The sequence below is a fragment of the Homo sapiens genome, chromosome 6 (assembly GCF_000001405.40).
Source record: "Homo sapiens chromosome 6, GRCh38.p14 Primary Assembly".
Taxonomy (NCBI): Eukaryota; Metazoa; Chordata; class Mammalia; order Primates; family Hominidae; genus Homo; species Homo sapiens.
In genome coordinates, this window is record NC_000006.12 from 27,509,445 (window position 1) to 27,528,799 (window position 19,355).

General features: G+C 40.9%; 1 non-coding gene and 1 pseudogene across 1 annotated transcript, besides 2 other annotated features; both read left to right on the forward strand.

Annotated features, from left to right (window-relative positions):
- Positions 9,438–9,727: an enhancer, noted in NCBI's record as "active region_24290". NCBI's record gives its function as "activates an Ori minimal core promoter by ATAC-STARR-seq in GM12878 lymphoblastoid cells {active_cell/tissue: GM12878}" and the evidence as "EXISTENCE:reporter gene assay evidence [ECO:0000049][PMID:35858748]".
- Positions 10,085–10,156, forward strand: TRQ-CTG1-2 (tRNA-Gln (anticodon CTG) 1-2). Its single transcript has one exon. It is a non-coding gene; the product is annotated as a tRNA-Gln (tRNA).
- Positions 10,118–10,167: a silencer, noted in NCBI's record as "silent region_17029". NCBI's record gives its function as "represses an Ori minimal core promoter by ATAC-STARR-seq in GM12878 lymphoblastoid cells {active_cell/tissue: GM12878}" and the evidence as "EXISTENCE:reporter gene assay evidence [ECO:0000049][PMID:35858748]".
- On the forward strand, positions 14,003–15,093 carry HNRNPA1P1 (heterogeneous nuclear ribonucleoprotein A1 pseudogene 1; annotated as a pseudogene).

The following is a 19,355-nucleotide window of genomic DNA, read 5'->3' on the forward strand; positions in this document are numbered from 1 at the left end:
TCAAGACCAGCTTGACCAACATGGTGAAACCCCCGTCTCTACTAAAAATACAAAAATTAGCCAGGCGTGGTGACGTGCGCTTGTGATCCCAGCTACTTGGGAGGCTGAGGCATGAGAATCGCTTCAACCTGGGAGGCGGAGGTTGCAGTGAGCTGAGATCGTGCCATTGCACTCCAGCCTGGGGAACAGAGCAAGAGTCCATCTCAAAAACAAACAAACAAACAAACAAACAAAAAGAGTTGTTAGAATCATGTAACCTTAGGCTCATTAGTCTGTACTGCCCCTCCTTCATAGAGGGTTTATTTTGGGAAAAAAAGCTCCGGAGATGCTCTTGACTTAAGGATACCAGGTATAATTGAAATTGGGAGTGAAGCGCATGTTGAAAATTGGGAGATGGAATGAAAGTCTCTTTAGGACACCTGAAGCTCCCTTTCTGTTTCAGAAAGTATGGACAGCTAAGCTTTCTCTACCTCTAGCCCTAAACATGCAGAAGATTGAAAGATTCTGCTCCCCAAGAAAATGGACCATCATAAGAAAACTGACCCGTAGATATGGACATATCAAGGGTCTGGATTGAAATGGCCTATCATACACAATCATTCTAGAATGAGGCCTATTTATTGGCATACCATGCCCATAGTACCAATTAGGTTTAGGGGTCTACCTCCTAAATATGACTGAACTGCTATGTGCCACCAGAAATTGGAGAAAAGATAGGTACCAACGCAAACAAATGAAAGAAAGAGAGCCTGGTGGAAATAGAGATAAATAGGTAACAGAAGCAAAAAACGAAAACATCCTCAGGGAAATAAGAAAGCATTCTGTATATATGAGAATAATAAGATACTATTCTGTTATTATTATTATCATTTCAAGACGGGGTCTCATTCTGTGGCCCAGGCTGGAGTGCAGTGGTGCTGTCATAGCTCACTAAGATGCTATTACTTTTTAAAGAGCATTAAAGGGAACAAGAACCCTTGAAAATAACAAATATGGGCATGGGGCAGGAGTATGTCAGCCAAGAAAATTATGTAGTGTTAGGGAAGCTCTGAGAGTATGGCTGTGTAAGCACGCCACTGTGGTTTGAATCTACAGGGTATATTGATCACCCTGCCCATGCTGAAGGTATTAAACTGCAAATTGAAGGTGAAGGTGTAAAATCTCAATTCATTAAAAACAAAAATTTCCAGAAGGTGTCTGACCAGAAAGGAACCCCCAAGTTGCTGCAGGCAGAAGCTGAGACCACTAAGTTATTTCCAAGACTGTCAGCAGCCTTTTTCTCATGTTTCCATCATTCCCCTCCTTGGCAATCTCCATGAAGATGACAACTGGATCTTTATCTCCAAGCCCGACTTCTCTCCTGAATCCTCCTAGTGGACAGGTCCACTTGAATGTACTACAGTTACATCAAAGGGCAACATCTAAAGGAGCAAAAGAAATGTGCTTTTCCCTTTGGCCACCATTCTAATTTCTTTAAAAAAATCCTTCCTTTTAATCCTAAATAAATATCTCTAAAGAATAATATTTAAAAAAAAAAAAAGGAAAAGAAGCCTGGGCAACATGGCAAAACCCCATATCCACGAAAAATACAAAAAAATTAACCAGGCGTGCTGGCACACACCTGTAGTACCAGCTACTTGACAGGCTGAAGCAGGAGGATCGTTTGAGCCTGGGAGGCTGAGGCTGCAGTGAGCTGAGATCACTCTGGCCTGGGTGACAAAGTAAGACCCTATCTCAGAAGAGAAAAGAAAATAACAAATATGATGATAGAAAAAAGTTTAACAGAAGGGTTAGAAGACAAAGTTGAGAACATTTCCCACAAAAAGGGACAAAAAAGAAAAATGGAAAAATAGAATAAAAGATAAGAAAATTAGAAGACAAGTCTAGAAGTTTCAACAACGTGATTGAAAGTTTCATGGAAAGACAACAAAGAAAATAGGGAAAACTATTAATGAATGCAATAAAATTTTCTTTTCTCTTTGTTTTTTTTAATTTTTTTCATTTTTTTTTTTCATTTATTTTTTTGAGATGGAGTTTTGAGTTTTGCTCTTGTTGCCCAGGCTGCAGTGCAATGGTGTGATCTTGGCTCACTGCAACCTCCACCTCCCGGGTTCAAGTGATTCTTGTGCCTCATCCTCCCAAGTAGCTGGGATTACAGGCATGCACCACCACGCCCAGCTAATTTTGTAATTGTAGTAGAGACGGGGTTTCTGCATGTTGGTCAGGCTGGTCTCGAACTCCTGACCTCTGGTGATCCGCCCACCTCGGCCTCCCAAAATGCTGGGATTACAGGCATGAGCTACCGCGCCTGGCCTTTTAAATTTTCAAAACCTAAAAAGGATCCAAAGGATCCACCTACTGCCCAGCACAAGGGACCAAAACAAATAAAAACAAAAACAACAAAACAAAACAAAACAAATACAAAAGCAAAACAAAACAAAAAACCAAGAATTATCCAGAGTGTCTATTTTAGAATGGCATTTAAATTCATCACCACACTGACAACAAGAACACAATGGAGTAATGCTCACAGAATTCTAAGATAAAATTATTTTCACACTAGAAATCCCTACCTGACCAAACTAAAATCATTTATGAAGTTTGAATAAATATATTTTCAGAAATGCATCATATTTTTTAGATCATAAGCAGGAAACAGAGACCTCATGAGGACTTAAACTCCAGTGTCTTTCATGCAGGGAATTGGTTACAGAGGTGGTGGAAGATCAAAGAAGCCAGTTGGGGTGGGAGGTAGAAATCTGAACCCAAGGGGTGGGATCTCCCTCAGGAGCAGGCAGGTCTGGGAGGATCTGGAGCCATGGAGGAGACACAACTGCTGCCAGAAATGCTGCAAGAAACAGGGAGGGAAAGCAAGAAATATCCTGACTTCTTCTTCCCTCTACCTCTCAATATTCCTTCATTGTCTTCTATTGGCTGAACTCAGGCAGAAGTCAGCAGCCATCAGTGGAAATGCAGCGGCAGGGACCAGACACTGGCACTACAGAGATGACCAAGGGAGTGGCTAGGAATGCATCTGAGCACAAACAGGCTTGAGATTGCCAAATGCAAAATCTCAAAAAATTTCTCTTTTCTCAGAAAGCTGTTGGAGGATCTTCTCCACCAAAAATAGGGAGTAAACCAAGAGATTTGTGACTTAACAAAAAAACAATTCAGTACAGGTGAGCGGTAAAGGGGTTGCCTCTTCAGCCGATGGAGAAGCATCAGCATGATCTCTATAAAGCAGACCTAGAGATTAACCAGCTCAGGTTGGACAAGTTTTAAAAAAAGGAACTGAAAAATGACCAAATTCAGAAGTATTTTGCAGCACTGGAAGAGAGTTGCAGGACAAATTAGTATTAGAAACACAGAAAGGAGGCAAACAAACAAAAGAGGCAGTATTTTCAAATCAGGAAAAACAAGAGAATGTAGTTACAGTATACAAGTGATCCTGCAGTGAACAATATTTCCATGGACATAATAAGGAAAACACTTAACATTTTTAGCCACAATACTATGATACAAATACATTGAAAGATGAGGGTAGATAAGTGTATTTGTTTTAGGCTATATAGAAGAACTATGTATCTTTTCTTTCAGAGTGGGAAGTCTTTAGACATCTGTATCAATCAGGACATGAGCAGGAAGTGGAATGTTTACTTGAACTAGAAAAGTTGAGGATAATTTATTTAAATTGTTATTTACAAATAAATGGGCAGCATGTAGGGCAATAACAAGGGTTTTGCGGATTACTGGAGCTAGTAATCCGCACTACCCTTGAGCTTGATGGGCATAAGATGGAGCCTGGGACCTACAGCTCTTTGGAGAGGGCTGTGTAGAGAGGCTTCCTGGCAGATGTTGGGACATTTCCTGGGGGATTCAGACTGCAGCCAACAGATCCAGAGGATAAATATACCAGCCTCACTCTTCACCCTCCCTCTGGATCTCTCATAGGTATTCTCTTGGCCAAACTCAAGCAGGAGTCAGAGGATAAAGAAGCCCATTGAAAATGTCCATACTGATCAGCGCCAGGGCAGGCAACAAGATGCAGAATGGGGCCAGGGTACCTGGATGATACACAGCACAAGGTCTAAAATTGAGGAATCAAGAAATAGCAAGACGGCCAGGTGCGGTGGCTCATGCCTGTAATCCCAGCACTTTAGGAGGCTGAGGTGGGTGAATCAGCTAAGGTCAGGAGTTTGAGACCAGCCTGGCCAACATGGTGAAACCCCATCTCTACCAAAAATACAAAATTAGCCGGGAGTGGTGGTGCGTGCCTGTAATCCCAGCTATTCCGTAGGCTGAGGCAGGAGAAAGGCTTAGAATCCAGGAGGCAGAGGTTGCAGTGAGCTGAGATCACACTAGCCTGAGTGACACTCAGAGCGACACTCTGTCTCAAAAAAAAAAAAAAAAAAGAGAAAGAGAGAAAGAGAGAGCAGGGCAACAATAATAACCACAATCAGTTGTGCTTATGAAGTGTCAGGCACTGTTCAAAGTTCTCGTTGAATTCTCAATAACCCGTAAGCGTTCTTCTTATTCCAGTTTTACAGTTGAGGAAACTAAAACACAGAGAGATTAAGTTCCTTGCCCAAGGTCATAGAACTAGGAGTGAAAAGCAACTGGACAGTTGCCACTAGGAAACCTAAATTCAGTTTAGAGAGAGTTTGGAACGGGAAAATGCTGTGCCTCTTTGTTTTTCTTATGATTTTATTTATATGAAAGATCCAGAATAGGTCAATCCATTGAGACAGCACGCAGACTGGGGTGGTTGCCAGGGGTTGTGAGGGAGGGAGGAATGGGGAGAAACTGCTTAATGAGTAAGGGGTTTTACCCTGGAGGGATAGAAATGTTTTGGAACTAGATAAAGGTGGTGGTTACACAACGCTGTGAATGTAGTGAAGGGTATTGAATTGTTCACTTTAAAATGATAAATTGTGAAAAAACAAATAAACAAAAAAAGGCTGTCTTCCTTAGCACTCCTGAAAAATGGCAGTGTTAATCCACTGAGTATAAGTACTGAGGTGTCAGCCTAAATCAGTGGTTCCCAGTCAGAGGTGATTTTGCTTCCCAGTGGACATCTGACAGGGTCTAGAGATATTTTTGATTGTCATAACAAGAGGTGGGGAGGATACTACTGAGATATAGTATGTAGGGGCCAGGGATGCTACTGAACTTCCTACAATGCACAGAACAACCCCCACCACAAAGAATGACCTGGTCTAACCTGCCAGTAGTGCCAAGGTTAAAAATCTCTGCAGTAGACGATCAGGGGCTGAGGGTGAGAGGGGAATAAGGGCACTGAGGTATAAACCGATTAAAAGAGCTCCCTTCTATCACCCAGGAAAGAGGTTGAGAGTGGAAAGGCAGGAGACTGTCTCTCCCTTTCTCTTTCAGAATAGCCCTGAAAATCAGTGCAACCTCGGACATCCATGGTTAAAAGTCAGACCCTGTTTTGGAAATGGCTGGGAAGGGCGGCTTTCTGTTCCTTCTCAAGCCAACGAAGTTGCTCTTCTTTCTTTGCTCAGACGCTTTCCTTCTGCAGACTGCCTTTCCTGACAAGAACAGACTCAGACAGTCTGTAGAGTGGTTCCGCCCCGAAGCTGAAAAATAGTGTACAAAGCTGTCACGAAGTTTCCACTGCACAGCTCCAATGTTCCATTTGCTCTGGCGACAGATCTTTCGGTGACCTTCGAAAGCGACATCGAGATTGACGATGTATAAGAATCTGCCGCCAGAAAGCACTGCATGTTGCCCAAGACAGTCACAGACATCGCAGTTGCCTGGGAGTCACGAAACTCTACCACTACGTTCTCGCTGCTCCATCGCGCCGCCATCTCCCACTCTCGGCCGCCAAGGCCCCAGGACCGCGCCCTCCCATCCACCAGACCCGGGTCCCCTGGCCCTCTGAGCCCTACACAGCCCGCGAGTCAGCCCTGACACGTCCAGTCCCCTGCTTCTTTGTGTTTTGATAGAAAACAAAACAAAACAAAACAAAACAAAAACATCTTGCCAATCCATTTGGCTTATAAAATAATGTATTGTGCACATTTATTATAATGATAATAATTACATAAGAAGTAATTTGGGAGAATGGGGTCCAAAATCAGCTATAGTATAGTCATGAGGGTTGCACCTGGAAGAGACTGCCTCTCTGATGTTCAAAGTTTGAGAATTAGTCCTTAATGAATAAATGTATATAATGCAATTTTGAAGTTTATACTTTCCTTGTTTGAACAGGATAGAATCAGCACTAAACAGAAACCAGTACAATTCTCAATAACAAATTATCTCAGTAGAGGTCCAATAACCCTGTGATAAATATGCGCCTGTTCTTCTCCACTGTCTGACCTACTTATGTCTGCATCAAGTATCCCCAAACTGCTCTGTCAGGAATATACACCCGAAGAGCCCTCTGAGAACTGGTTTAACTAGTATTTTGGCTTGTTTTGGGTGCACCTGTGACCTAATTTACAAGACCAAGATTAATTAAATGTTCATGCACAATTAAAAGACAATTTTACTTCAGTAGTATGATGCTTAATTTCTGCTTATAGAATTCATTTTTTATTAGTTATAAATTATGCTAGATGACATAGAGAGGAATATCAAATGCAGAGGATTCTTAGCCTGAGATCCATGGACCTCAAGTGTTTCACGAACACCTTGAGATAGTTTTCAAAATGGTATATGTGTGTATCTAGGGGCATCTTTCTGAGAAAGGGATTTCCTAGATTTTATTCAATATGATCTGGAGTCCAGAGCAAAAAAATATTGTACAAATCTTTGCTCTACTAACTTCTTGACATTGGGAATTTGAGGGAGAGGAATTTTCCATCAGCTTTTTGTTTTTTGGGAAATAAATAAAATGACTATGAGCAAACATGAAGACAATTCCCAAACCAATTCCCAAAGACTGGTACCAGTAGCTCCTGGTGCAGAACCAACTTCAGCATGGCAGGGAACAAAGAAATGTTCAGTTATACTGAGGGCAAAAGGACAATGAGAATCTCCTAAGTTCCTCAAAGTCACTTCTGTTGCTCCCTGATGTTTACAGTTCAAAGCAGATACTTGTGCTCCTAAAACAAACAACCTTGAAGCCCTGGCCTGATCTATGGTCTCAGCCTATCCTTCAACTTTTTCTCAGCTCTTCTTTTACTTCCACTATGGTATGGCCACCCAGACAACCAGTCCACAGACTACGCCCTTATCTTGTATCTCACAATATGTGAAAAGGTTTGGGCCAACACCGTCTTCTAAATACCATCTTCAATCCCTGCCTAAACTCAAATATCCAGCTTATTTCAGCTTCTCAGTTTATCTAGGCTGTTAGCTTCCAGTCACCTGCAGTTTTCCCTAACTTTCTCTGTGTGGGTGTTACTTTATTCACTGTTTTTAGCCAATATCTCATCACTACAAACTGAAATCTCCACAGGCAGGGCCAGTGCTTAGTGTCCTGCTCAATTCTGTGTCCACAGCACTAAGGGCAGCAGTGGGTGTGGCACAAAAATTTGTCCTTCCTATTTTCAAGTCCGTATACTCTCAGGTCAGTTGTAGGCTGTGCAAGCTGTACCACTAGGTCTGATATGTGGCTCATTAAGCAAAAACAGGAGAGAATTGTACCAATGCACATTGCAAGCCAGAGTTCTGAATTCATTTTGAAGAAGTAACTTCATTTGGTCACATTTTTGTTCTTATTCCCGTGAGCAATAGTTTCCATTTAATTGGGAAGATATAAAGGAGAGTTCCCATATATCCCCACACTCAGTTTTCCTTATTATTAAAATCTTACATTGGTATGGTACGTTTGTTACAAACAATTAACAAATATGTATACATTATTATTAACTAAAATGAATATGTTAGATTTCCTTCATTTTTACCTAATTTCCTTTCTCTGTTCCAGGATCCTATTCAGAATTCCATGTTATTTTTAGTCATCATGACTCCCTAAGCTCTCTTGGCTGTGGTAGTTCTTAGACTTTCCTTGATTTTGATGATCTTGACAGTTTTGAAGAGTGTTGAGCAGGCATTTTGTAGAATGTCCTTCAACTAGGATTTGTCTGATATTTTTCTCATCATTAGATCGGAGTTAGGGGTTCGAGGGAGCAAGACCGCAGAGGTAAAGTGGAGGGTTTTTGTTTGTTTGTTTGTTTGTTTTGAGACAGGGTCTCCCTCTGTCACGCAGGCTGGAATGCAGTGGCACCATCTCGGCTCTCTGCAACCTCCGCCTCCCGGGTTCAAGCGATTCTCCTGCCTCAGCCTCATGAGCAGCTGGGACTACAGGCATCTGCCACCACGCCTGGCTAATTTTTGTATTTTTAGTGGAGACAGGGTTTCACCATGTTGGCCAGGCTGGTCTCGAACTCCTTGCCTCAAGTGATCCACCTGCCTCGGCCTCCCAAAGTGCTGGGATTACAGGAATAAACCACCATGCTTGACCTAAAGCGCCATTTTTATCACGTTATATCAAGACAATATACTATCAACATGGCTTATCACTGCTGGTGTAATGCTTTTGGGATTTATTCACTGCTTACTTTCCCACCCTTTTTCATACTGTATTCTGTAGAGCAATCACTATGCAGAGCCCACAATGAAGGGGTGGAGTTATCTGGAATTCTGCTCAGGAGATTCCTTGAAAAACTGAGATTTGTTGCACATCAGGGAAGCTGTAGGGATTGGTTTGAAGTCTTCTATTTATTGTTTCTCAAATTGTTTCAGCTTTGACCATTACAGGCATATATTTTTAATTTTTTTTTTCAGAGAGCACAGAACTTGGTACAAGCCCTAGCCCTTAGAAATGCTCATCTTAAATTTGTTACATGGACCTTCAGTTTTTCAAAAGCCTCCAGTGGGCTAGATTTTTATTGAAAATGCTTAGGATCCTCATGCTTCTTGTTCCCGAGGCTCCTGGAAACCACCTTTAGTTATCCCGTTTGGTAAGAGGGTTTCATTCTGTCTTGCTTTCTGGTAGTGAGTGGATCAGAAAGTCATAGGGCTGGGAGAAGATGGACTGGATGAGATATGTACGGATATTCTCTTTGCCACTGTACAGCGGCCATTGCAGCTCCTGCCGCAGAGCCCACGGCCCTACGGGCGGGACCCATTTTAACCTGGTAGTGACAGTGCCGCCTCATTGAAGCAGGAAGGATTTTTGTCCATGACACTAGACGTCTCTAAGCAATAAAGTAATTTTGGCAGATGCCGATACCTCTCATGTGATCTTGTTGGGAAGGTTCAGATCCTATCACCTGAGATTATTTACTCTTAAAGACCCTCTGCCTCCTTCCTCAGCCTTTCTGTTTGACAACATAAGATCGCTTTTATCTCCTGCAATGAACACTCCTAGACAAGTCATGTCCGGGTCTTGGTATCAGTAAATTTTTACTGCTGAATATTTTGGGAGAGGTTCTCAGTTAATCCCATTGAGAAAGACCAAGTTAAAGCTTTATCAGTGAGAAACTAATTACAAAATCCTGCCTTGCAAATATTCGAGCTTTTAACAGTGCTTTACTCTTTGGTATCCACGAGGTGGAGCCTTCCCGGGAAGCAGAAAGCATCTTTTGGTGTCCTGTTTTTTGTTTTTTACCCTCGGCAACGCCACGGGTGCCAGGACTAGTTGACACGCCGCCTCAATTTAAGTCATCCATAATTTATACGTTACGAAATGGAACTTTCAAAAGTGTTCCTAGCGTTAGGAGCAAAGAACGCCGGACAAACGCTCGGGAGGCGGCGAGCCTCGCGGTTCTTCCAACAACGCAATCTGTCAGCGCGGCTAGGTTGGTGCCCTCTCCCCCTGTATCGGGGCAGCCCGGCTTAGGGCCGCAGAACCGAGGCTGGGGAGCCCCGCAGGCTGTTGCTAAGAGTCCAGGGGAGGCACGGACTTACCTTATCTGCCCCTGGAAACAGATTTGCTCTTGGATCTTGCACGAAGAGCCCTGTGAGAAACGAAAAGGGAACTTGTGTGATGGCGGCAGATAACGAACATTAGGGTAGAAACTTAGGTTCTTAAAGGGAAGACAGCTTGAGTTCGGAAATGAAGATATATTCCTTCAGGAAGGCCTGTTAAAAACACGAGCTATTGCGAGGTTCCATGGTGTAATGGTTAGCACTCTGGACTCTGAATCCAGCGATCCGAGTTCAAATCTCGGTGGAACCTGTCGTTTCTTCTTGCTTCCTCACTATTTTTTTCTTTCTAAAATAAATTTCCCTCTTAGATATGATTGGCAGGAATCTCCAGTTCATGTGAACCCAAAGTATGACGCGGACTCTGTACGGGGCCCACTGACTCTCTGCTCTATGTTCAGAGCAGGAGACCCTCATACCTCCTTCATTTTACTACCCTCCTCACCACCACCTAACAGATATTCTAATACCCAAAATAATTCGAGTTGAGTTAAACTTTTTACTTGATTTATTGCTTTATGAAATGCAGTTAATTCACTTCAGAGGACAAAAAGGACTCAACAGATTTGAGGGAAAAGAAATATTCTTGTATGTATCTTTTTCCCAAGAGAATGAGGCTTTATAATGCCTTTTAGGTGCAATCACTAGAATTTATAGGTGTTTCATTTGCCACTGAGAAACAAGGATTAGTGAAAATAAATCTGTACTTTAAATAAAAATTGCTTAAACTCTCTTAGGTATTTGAACACTATTGGATCCTCACATGGTAACTTCAATCACTGTCAACACGGTAAGTAAATATCCAGATACACCTTCTAAGTGCTCTGTTGGTCATTTCTGTGACATTAACCCGCCACACAGAATTGCTGTCAATGCTGAATACGTCCCATAGAATGATAGAGCTTTAAAATTGTATCCTAGGATGCCTCTGTGATTATTTTGTCTTCATAAAACTAAATGTCTCTTGTTGCAAGTTAGTTTATTTTCTGGTAAATGTTTGGATTTGTCACAACTTAAGGAAAGACAAAGAAGTTACTGGGTCTCTGAAGAATTAAGGCCAAAGTGCTTTCCTTAGTTTGATTTTATCTATTAGTATTTATAAAATTGTGTCTTTTAATTGTGGATACAGGGTATCAGGCTATATGTTATAATCTTTTTTCATTTAATCTTATATTGCTAAAATTAATCATCTCTTTTGTTGTATGTAGCTACCATTCATTCATTGATTTCATGTTAGCTGCTGTGTAATATGAACATGCCACAGCTCATTCATTCATCTTTCCATTAATGGGAAACCAAGAGATGTTTATAATATAAATTTGATTTTGAATTATGGCAATTCTTGGGTCACAAAAATTAAAAATTATTTTACTGCAGAGGAAATTCCTGATTCTGCAACCATACATTTAATGGAGAATTTATAACTTTGAATTGTCATTTTCATTTTCCAAATGCTTCCACACATAATGATTATTTGCCCTTTTATATTGTACTACCCATTCCTTCTGATTCCTCATGCATTTTCTAGTGTTAACTGCTAGCAGCATTATGTTCCCCAGCATGGAATGCCTTTGCTAGGCCTTATGCCACCACTGCCTCTAAAAGCTTAAATATCTACCTGCATTTAGCAGATATCTATTCATTACCCTTACCAAGGCAAATGTTGCAAGAAAATAGATGCTTACCTTTAATTTAGATGGACCTAATTTGCTTCTAAACATTTCTTCATAGACTTTATTATACTTGCATAAAGATGCATCATGATAAAATACATAATTTTGGAGTTTTTCTCCCTTGTTTATATACATGTTTCTTCTGAAAGAAGAAATACATCTGATTGGAAAACTTAGGGCACATGCGTGCCATCCTAGCTACATAGAAGCCTAAGAAATTGTTTTAGACAGTTTGGACTACTATAACTATATAATGTTTGTTGACTTAAACAACAAACATTTATTTCTCACAATTCTGAAGGCTGGGAAACCCAAAATCAAGGTTCCAGCTGATTCAATGTCTGGTGAGCCCTCCCTTCTTGATTTGCAGCCTACTGTCCTCTTGCTCTATCCTCACATACTGGGGGGACAGAGAGAGAGAGAGAGAAACAGAGAGAGAGAGGCTTCCACATATGCATTTGAGTCCATTCAGTCCATAGCAGGAATTTAGTTATCACAGAACCATTGAGGATGCACAGTTCATTGGTAGAGAATTCTCCCTAGTCATATGAAGTCTTAGGCATATTAGACCACTATGTTCATCAATATGATTATCTATAATTTCTTTTCTTCCTAAACTTTTCTTTTTCCATCAATTTTCTCTTTCATTATGATTCAGCCACAGAATCTGTTAAAATAGGCCGGGCACAGTGGTTCATGCCTGTAGTTTCCACAGTTTCAGAGGGTGAGGTGGGTGGATCACTTAAGGCCAGGAGTTGGTGACCAGCCTGAGCAAGATGGTGAGTCCCTGTCTCTACAAAACTAATATTTGTTAAATAATCTGTTAAAATATTAGTTAATAATTACTAAATTTTGAGATGTAGAAACAAAATGGAACTAAAATGATGAATAACAATAATACACAAAATGGGATGTTGTAATAAGGATCAAATTATACTGGAGTCATTTATCATAATAAAAGATAATTTTTAGAACTGTTTACTGAAGTTATAATTCATGCAAATGCTGAACGAATGACTATGAAATTAGTACTTGTCTGAGGGCATGGCCAAAGCTACGCAGTAGTGCCTCTTTGCTGTGAATAAAATGCCAGGATGTAAAAATTTAAGAATTTTATTGAAAAACTAATTATTATTAGCATTATATTTAATGTATTATATTTTATATTAATATATTACTATAAGAACTGTATTATAATCAAAACTTTACTAGTCAAAATTTCAAAGGTTGATATTATTGTGTATTGATATCATTTACTAGATTTTTCTTCAGTCACCCTACAGCACAGCTGGGCCAAAAAATAGATGCCCACTTTTAACTTAGATGGACTTCATTGCTTCTAAACATCTCCTCTTTTCTTCAAAGACTTTGTTATACTTGCATAAACAAAGATTTGTCATGATATAATACAAAATTTTGGAACGTTTCCCCCTTGTGAAAGTTTAATGTGACAAAATAGACATTTTGCTTTTAAGTTATTTTGACAAAATGAAAAAAATTGTCAAATAGAACTTTTGTTTAAAGACTCAAGGCTAATATAGAAAATAGTTTTTGAAGGTATTTTTAAATATTCTAGAAATGAAGAATTAAGATATAATTACAACTTTATTATTCTTCATTTTATTCTAATGTAAATATTTATAATATTTGTTGAGAATAAAAGTATGTGATGTTCTTCCTATACAGCAATCTAAAGAACTCTTATATTTATATTAACTTCCTTATATTAATTTCAATTTTATTAATTCTTAATATTACATAAAATATAAAGTTTTTCACAAATTATTAATTATTGAAGCATTTTATCCCTAAAATAGTAAAAATCCATTCATATTTCAATGATTGACAGTATCTTAACAAAGCTCACAAGATTTTCACTCTATGCTTAATAGCTAAAATTCTTATTCTTGTACTAAACAATAACAGTACTAAAAAATAAATAAATAAAATAAGACAACTATACTATTCAGATACTAAAAGTAAACCTGGCCTTTTCCGCCTGTGGACACTGCTGAGGAAGCACTGTTAAACGCCCTTCTTCCCACTGCCATCATATCTAAGTCAGCGTCTCCTAAAGAGCCCGAACAGCTGCTGAAGCTTTTCATTGTCATTGGAGGGTTGAATTTTGTTTTTTTCGGTTTTGTTTTTGTTTTTTTTGAGACGAGTCTCTTTCTGTCGCCAAGCTGGAGGAGTGCAGTGGCGCAATCTGGGATCGCTGCAACCTCCGCCTCCTGAGTTCAAGTGATTCTCCTGCCTCAGCCTCCCAAGTAGCTGGGACTACAGGCGGGCACCACCACGCCTGGCTAAGTGTGTGTGTGTGTGTGTGTGTGTCTGTGTGTGTGTAGTACAGACGTGGTTTCACTATGTTGTCCAGGTTGGCCTCCCAGAGTGCTAGGATTACAGGCATGAGCCACTGCACCTGGCCAGGAGGGTTGAGCTTTGAAACAACTGATGAGAGCCTGAGGAGCCATTTTGAGCAATAGGGAACGCTCACGGACTGTGTAGTAAAGAAAGATCCAAACACCAAGCACTCCAGGGGCTTTGGGTTTGTCACATATGCCGGTATGGAAAAGGTGGATACAGCCATGAATGCAAGGCCGCACAAGGTGGATGGAAGATTTGTGGAACCAAAGACAGCTGTTTCAAGAGAAGATTCTCAAAGACCAGGTGCCCACTTAACTGTGATAAAGATGTTAAAGAAGAACTGAAGAACATAAACTAAGAGATTATATTGAACAGTATGGAAAAATTGAAGTGATTGAGATCATGACTGACCGAGGCAGTGGCAAGAACAGGGGCTTTGCCTTGTAACTTTTGATGACCATGACTCCATGGAAAGGATTGTCATTCAGAAATACCACACTGTGAATGGCCACAACTGTGACTTTAGGAGTGCTCTGTCAAAGCAAAAGATGTTTAGTGCTTCATCCAGCCAAAGAGATCGAAGTGGTTCTGGAAACTTTGGTGGTGGCGTTGGAGGTGGTTTTGGTGAGAATGACAACTTCGGTCGTGGAGGAAACTTCAGTGGTTGTGCTGGCTTTGGTGGCAGAAGTGGTGGTGGTAGATAGGGTGGCAGTGGGAATGGCTATAACAGATTTGATAATGATGGAAGCAATTTTGGAGGTGGTGGAAGCTACAATGATTTTGGCAATTACAACGATCGGTCTTCAAATTTTGGACCCATAAAGGGAGGAAACTTTGGAGGCAGAAGCTCTGGTCCCTATGGTGGTGGAAGCCAATACTTTGCCAAACCATGAAACCAAGGTGGCTATGGCAGTTCCGTAGCAGCAGTAGTTACGGCAGTGGTAGAAGATTTTAATTACTGCCAGGAAACAAAGCTTACCAGGAAAGGAGAGTCAAAGAAGTGACAGGGAAGCTGCAGATTACAACCGATTTGTGAACTCAGCCAAGCCCAGTGGTGGAAGGGCCTAACTGCTACAAAGAAGACATGTATTAGACAAATACTCATGTATATGGGCAAAAAACTTGAGGACTGTATTTATGACTAATTGTATAATAGGTTATTTTAGTTTCTGTTCTGAGGAAAGTATAAATCATTTCAACAAAGGGTTTTAATATAGTGTGTTTTTTTTTTTTTGCACCTAGGCTGTTGGATGCCAAATGTAATAGTCTAATCATGACTCTGAATAAATGTGTCTCTTTGAAAAATGTGCTATGTAAAGTTAGTCTACTCTGAAGCCATCTTGGTAAATTTCCCCAACATTGTGAAGGGAATTCCTTCAGGGTGATGCCACATTCTATTTGGAATTTGTATATGACCTGCTTGGGTGGAGAAGCCATTATCTTCAGTAACCTTGGTGTAGTTGAACTGATAGTTACTGTTGTGACTTGAAGTTCACCATTAAAAGAGTTCACCGGGCCAGGCGCGGCGGCTCACATTTGTAATTCCAGCACTTTAGAAGGCTGAGGCAGGAGAATTGCTTGAACCCAGAAGGCAGAGGTTACAGTGAGGAGAGATCTTGTCATTGCGCTCCAGCCTGGGCGACAGAGTGAGACTCCAACTCAAAAAAAAAAAAAAAATTAGGCTCAAGGATTCCAGAAATAACATGGAAGTAGATATCTGGCTATTTGACTTTCATTCTGGGATGGGGGTAGGGGGTTCTTTACAGCCTGGGGCAATGAAAGTCTCAGCTCCCTGTTCTGCTTTCTTCGAGAAGTGTGTGTGTGTGTGTGTGTGTGTGTGTGTGTGTGTGTGTGTGTGTGTGTTGGAGGTAGAGGGAATGCACCTTGTTACAGCTTGATGGAAGTCTAGATTCCCCACTTTGCCTTTGCTGTTGTGTGTGAAGGTTTGGACGACAGTTGTTTTTTTTTTTTTTTTCCTCTTCCAGCTTCCCAAGAGCAGAAGTCCGTAGAAATGGAGTTTGTAACTCCACTGAACACACAAAATTAGCTAAAAAAAAATAACAAGTCACAAAACAAAAATTTTAAAAATGTAAAACTTTTAGAAGTAGAGTCAGGCTTCGGCCGGGCGCGGTGGCTCACGCCTGTAATCCCAGCACTTTGGGAGGCCGAGGTGGGCGGATCACGAGGTCAGGAAATAGAGACCATCCTGGCTAACTCGGCTAACTCGGTGAAACCCCGTCTCTACTAAAAATACAAAAAATTAGCCGGGCGTGTTGGCGGGCGCCTGTAGCCCCGGCTACTCTGGAGGCTGAGGGAGGAGAATGGCGTGAGCCCGGGAGGCGGAGCTTGCAGTGAACCAAGATCGCGCCACTGCACTCCAACCTGGGCAACGGAGCGAGACAGTGTCTCAAAAAAAAAAAAAAAAAAAAAAGGGGAGTCAGGCTTTGGTCCAATAACTCATTAAAAGATTATTATTATTATTATAATTATTATTATTATTATTATTATTAGTTTGAGACGGAGTTTCGCTCTTGTTGCTCAGGCTGGAGTGCAATGGCATGATCTCAGCTCACCGCAACCTCCGCCTCCTGGGTTGAAGCGATTCTCCTGTCTCAGCCTCCCGAGTAGCTGGGATTACAGGCATATGCCACCACGCCGGCCTAATTTTGTATTTTTAGTAGAGACAGGGTTTCTTCATGTTGATCAGGTTAGCCTCAAACTCCTGACCTCAGGTGATCCGCCTGCCTCGGCCTCCCAAAGTGCTGGGATTACAGGCGTGAGCCACTGCGCCCGGAAAGACTTATTCTTTCTTATTCTTATTCTTATTCTTATTCTTATTATTTTGAGATGGAGTCTCGCTCTGTAGCCCAGGCTGGAGTGCAGTGGTGCGATCTCGGCTCACTGCAAGCTCCGCCTCCCGGCTTCACGCCATTCTCCTGCCTCAGCCTCCCAAGTAACTGGACTACAGGCGCCCACCAACACGCTCGGCTAATTTTTTTGTGTTTTTAGTAGAGACGGGATTTCACCGTGCTAGCCAGGATGATCTCGATCTCCTGACCTCGTGATCCGCCCGTCTCGGCCTCTCAAAGTGCTGGGATTACAGGCGTGAGCCACCGCGCCCGGCCTAAAAGATTATTTTATATTAGGGAAGTGTTCTCAGCCTCCTGTTCATTTGCCCTTGCTTATTTTGATTTTGTGTATTATGCAGCACAAACATTCACTGCCTTTTCTTTTCTTTTTTTTTTTTTAGACAGAGACTCGCTCTGTCACCCAGGCTGGAGTGCAGTGGTACGATCTCGGCTCACTGCAACCTCCCCCTCCCAGGTTCAAGTGATTCTCCTGCCTCAGCCTCCTGAGTAGCTGGGATTACAGGTGCAGGACACCACGCCCGGCTAATTTTAGTATTTTTAGTAGAGACAGGGTTTCACCATGTTGGTCAGGCTGGTCTTGAACTCCTGACCTCGTGATCCACCCGCCTCGGCCTCTCATAGTGCTAGGATTACAGGTGTGAGCCACCCTGCCCGGCCTGCCTTTTCTACCCTTAGGGACACTATGCTGTATTAACTATCTTCACAGCTCTGTAGGTTAAGCCCCCTCTGCTTACATAGCCAGATAATCATTATTGTATGGCTTGTCACCCATGTTTTCAACTTAAAAACACATGAATCATCACACAAACATTTTACAACGTCATCCGCACCATAGAGATTTTTAAAACATCTATCTCAAGAACTCATATAAAAACCAGAAATTTTTAGCAATTATATGTCACTTTGTTTCAGAGACTCCTTGAGCACTCATACCACTCAAGCTGGGGTCCTCCTTGCCAGCTTGGCAGTGAGTAATATAGTTGTCAAATCACATTTTACCATCTGCTTTCACAGACCTCTTCTGATACCAGCTGTGAAAGTTTGGGATCGCTGGAAAGCAAACACTAAGATGCATTACAAGTGCAAGGGGTTATTGACAATAATGCCCATAACAATAAACAAAGAGGAGAAGGAAAGATGAATGCAGTAAGAGATTTCAGACCATGATGTGGGTCTGGCATGGGCAAAATTAGAGAAGGAAGAAAGTAGGATTGGGTAGAAAAACCCTGAGGTTTTGGCACAGCTCTGAGAAAGTCTCGTCCAGCTTTGGTATAGAAATTGCTCATAGATAAGACCCCAGTCAAGCGGAAATGGCCAGGCTTTAGCGTACACCCACTCTGCTCACCAAGAAGAAAACAACCTCAGTTTGAACACTGTAGAAGACGGTAAAAGTGCTGTAGCTGAAGATGGTAAAAGTGCCTTGGAGGCTGTCAGCTGACAGCATTTCTTGCAACTGAAAACAAGTTCTTCCTTGAAGGAAGATCTGAGCAGCGCACCTCCATGGCCACAGAAATTTTACAATACACATTTAATGATATTTCAGTATAGATAAAGATTATTTAAACAAATCTATTTACCTAAATGACAAATATAGAACACTACACTCAACTAAAAATATATATTATTTATTTATTAAAAGATATTGTATTGTGTATATTTGATGCTTACAACATGATGCTATGAAATATATGTAGATAGTAAAATGATTGTTCCAATGAGGCAAATTAACATGTATCATCTCACATAGTTACATTTTTTTTGGACAAAACATCTAAACTCTACTCATTTAACAAAAATCCCTAATATAATACAATTCAATTCACTAGAGTCTCCATGTTGTACATTAGCTCTCTAGACTTGTTCATGCTACATATCTGCTACTTCGTATCCTTTAACCTACATTACCCTATTTCTTTTCTCCTCAGCTACCCCTGGCAACCAATTTTTTATTCTCTCTGTATGTTTGACCTTTTTTTTTTTTTAAATATATATCCACATATAAGTAAGATCTCATAGTATTTTTCTTTCTATGTCTGGCTTATTTCATTGAGCATAATATCTTCCAGGGTCATCCATGTTGTGGCAAATGGTAGAATCTCCTTTTTTAAGGCTGAGTAATATTATACACACACACACACACACACACACACACACACACACACACACACACACACACACAGATTCTTTATCCATTAATCTATTGACAAACATAGTTTGTTTCCATATCTTGGCTATTATGAATAGTGCTTCAGTGAATGTGGGAGTACAGATGTCTTTTACGAGGTAGTAATTGTATCTCCTTTGGGTTTATATCCAGGAGAGGAATTGCTGGGTCATATGGTAGTTCTATGTTTAATTTCTTTAGAAACATCCATGCTGTTTTCCATAATGACTGCACAAATCTACATTCTCACCAACAGTGTACTAGGGTTCTCTTTTCTCCACACCCTTGCCAACATTTGTTGTCTCTTGTCTTTTTGATAATAGCCATCCTAACAGGTGTAAAGTTATATCTTATAGTGGTTTAATATTGCATTTTCCTGAT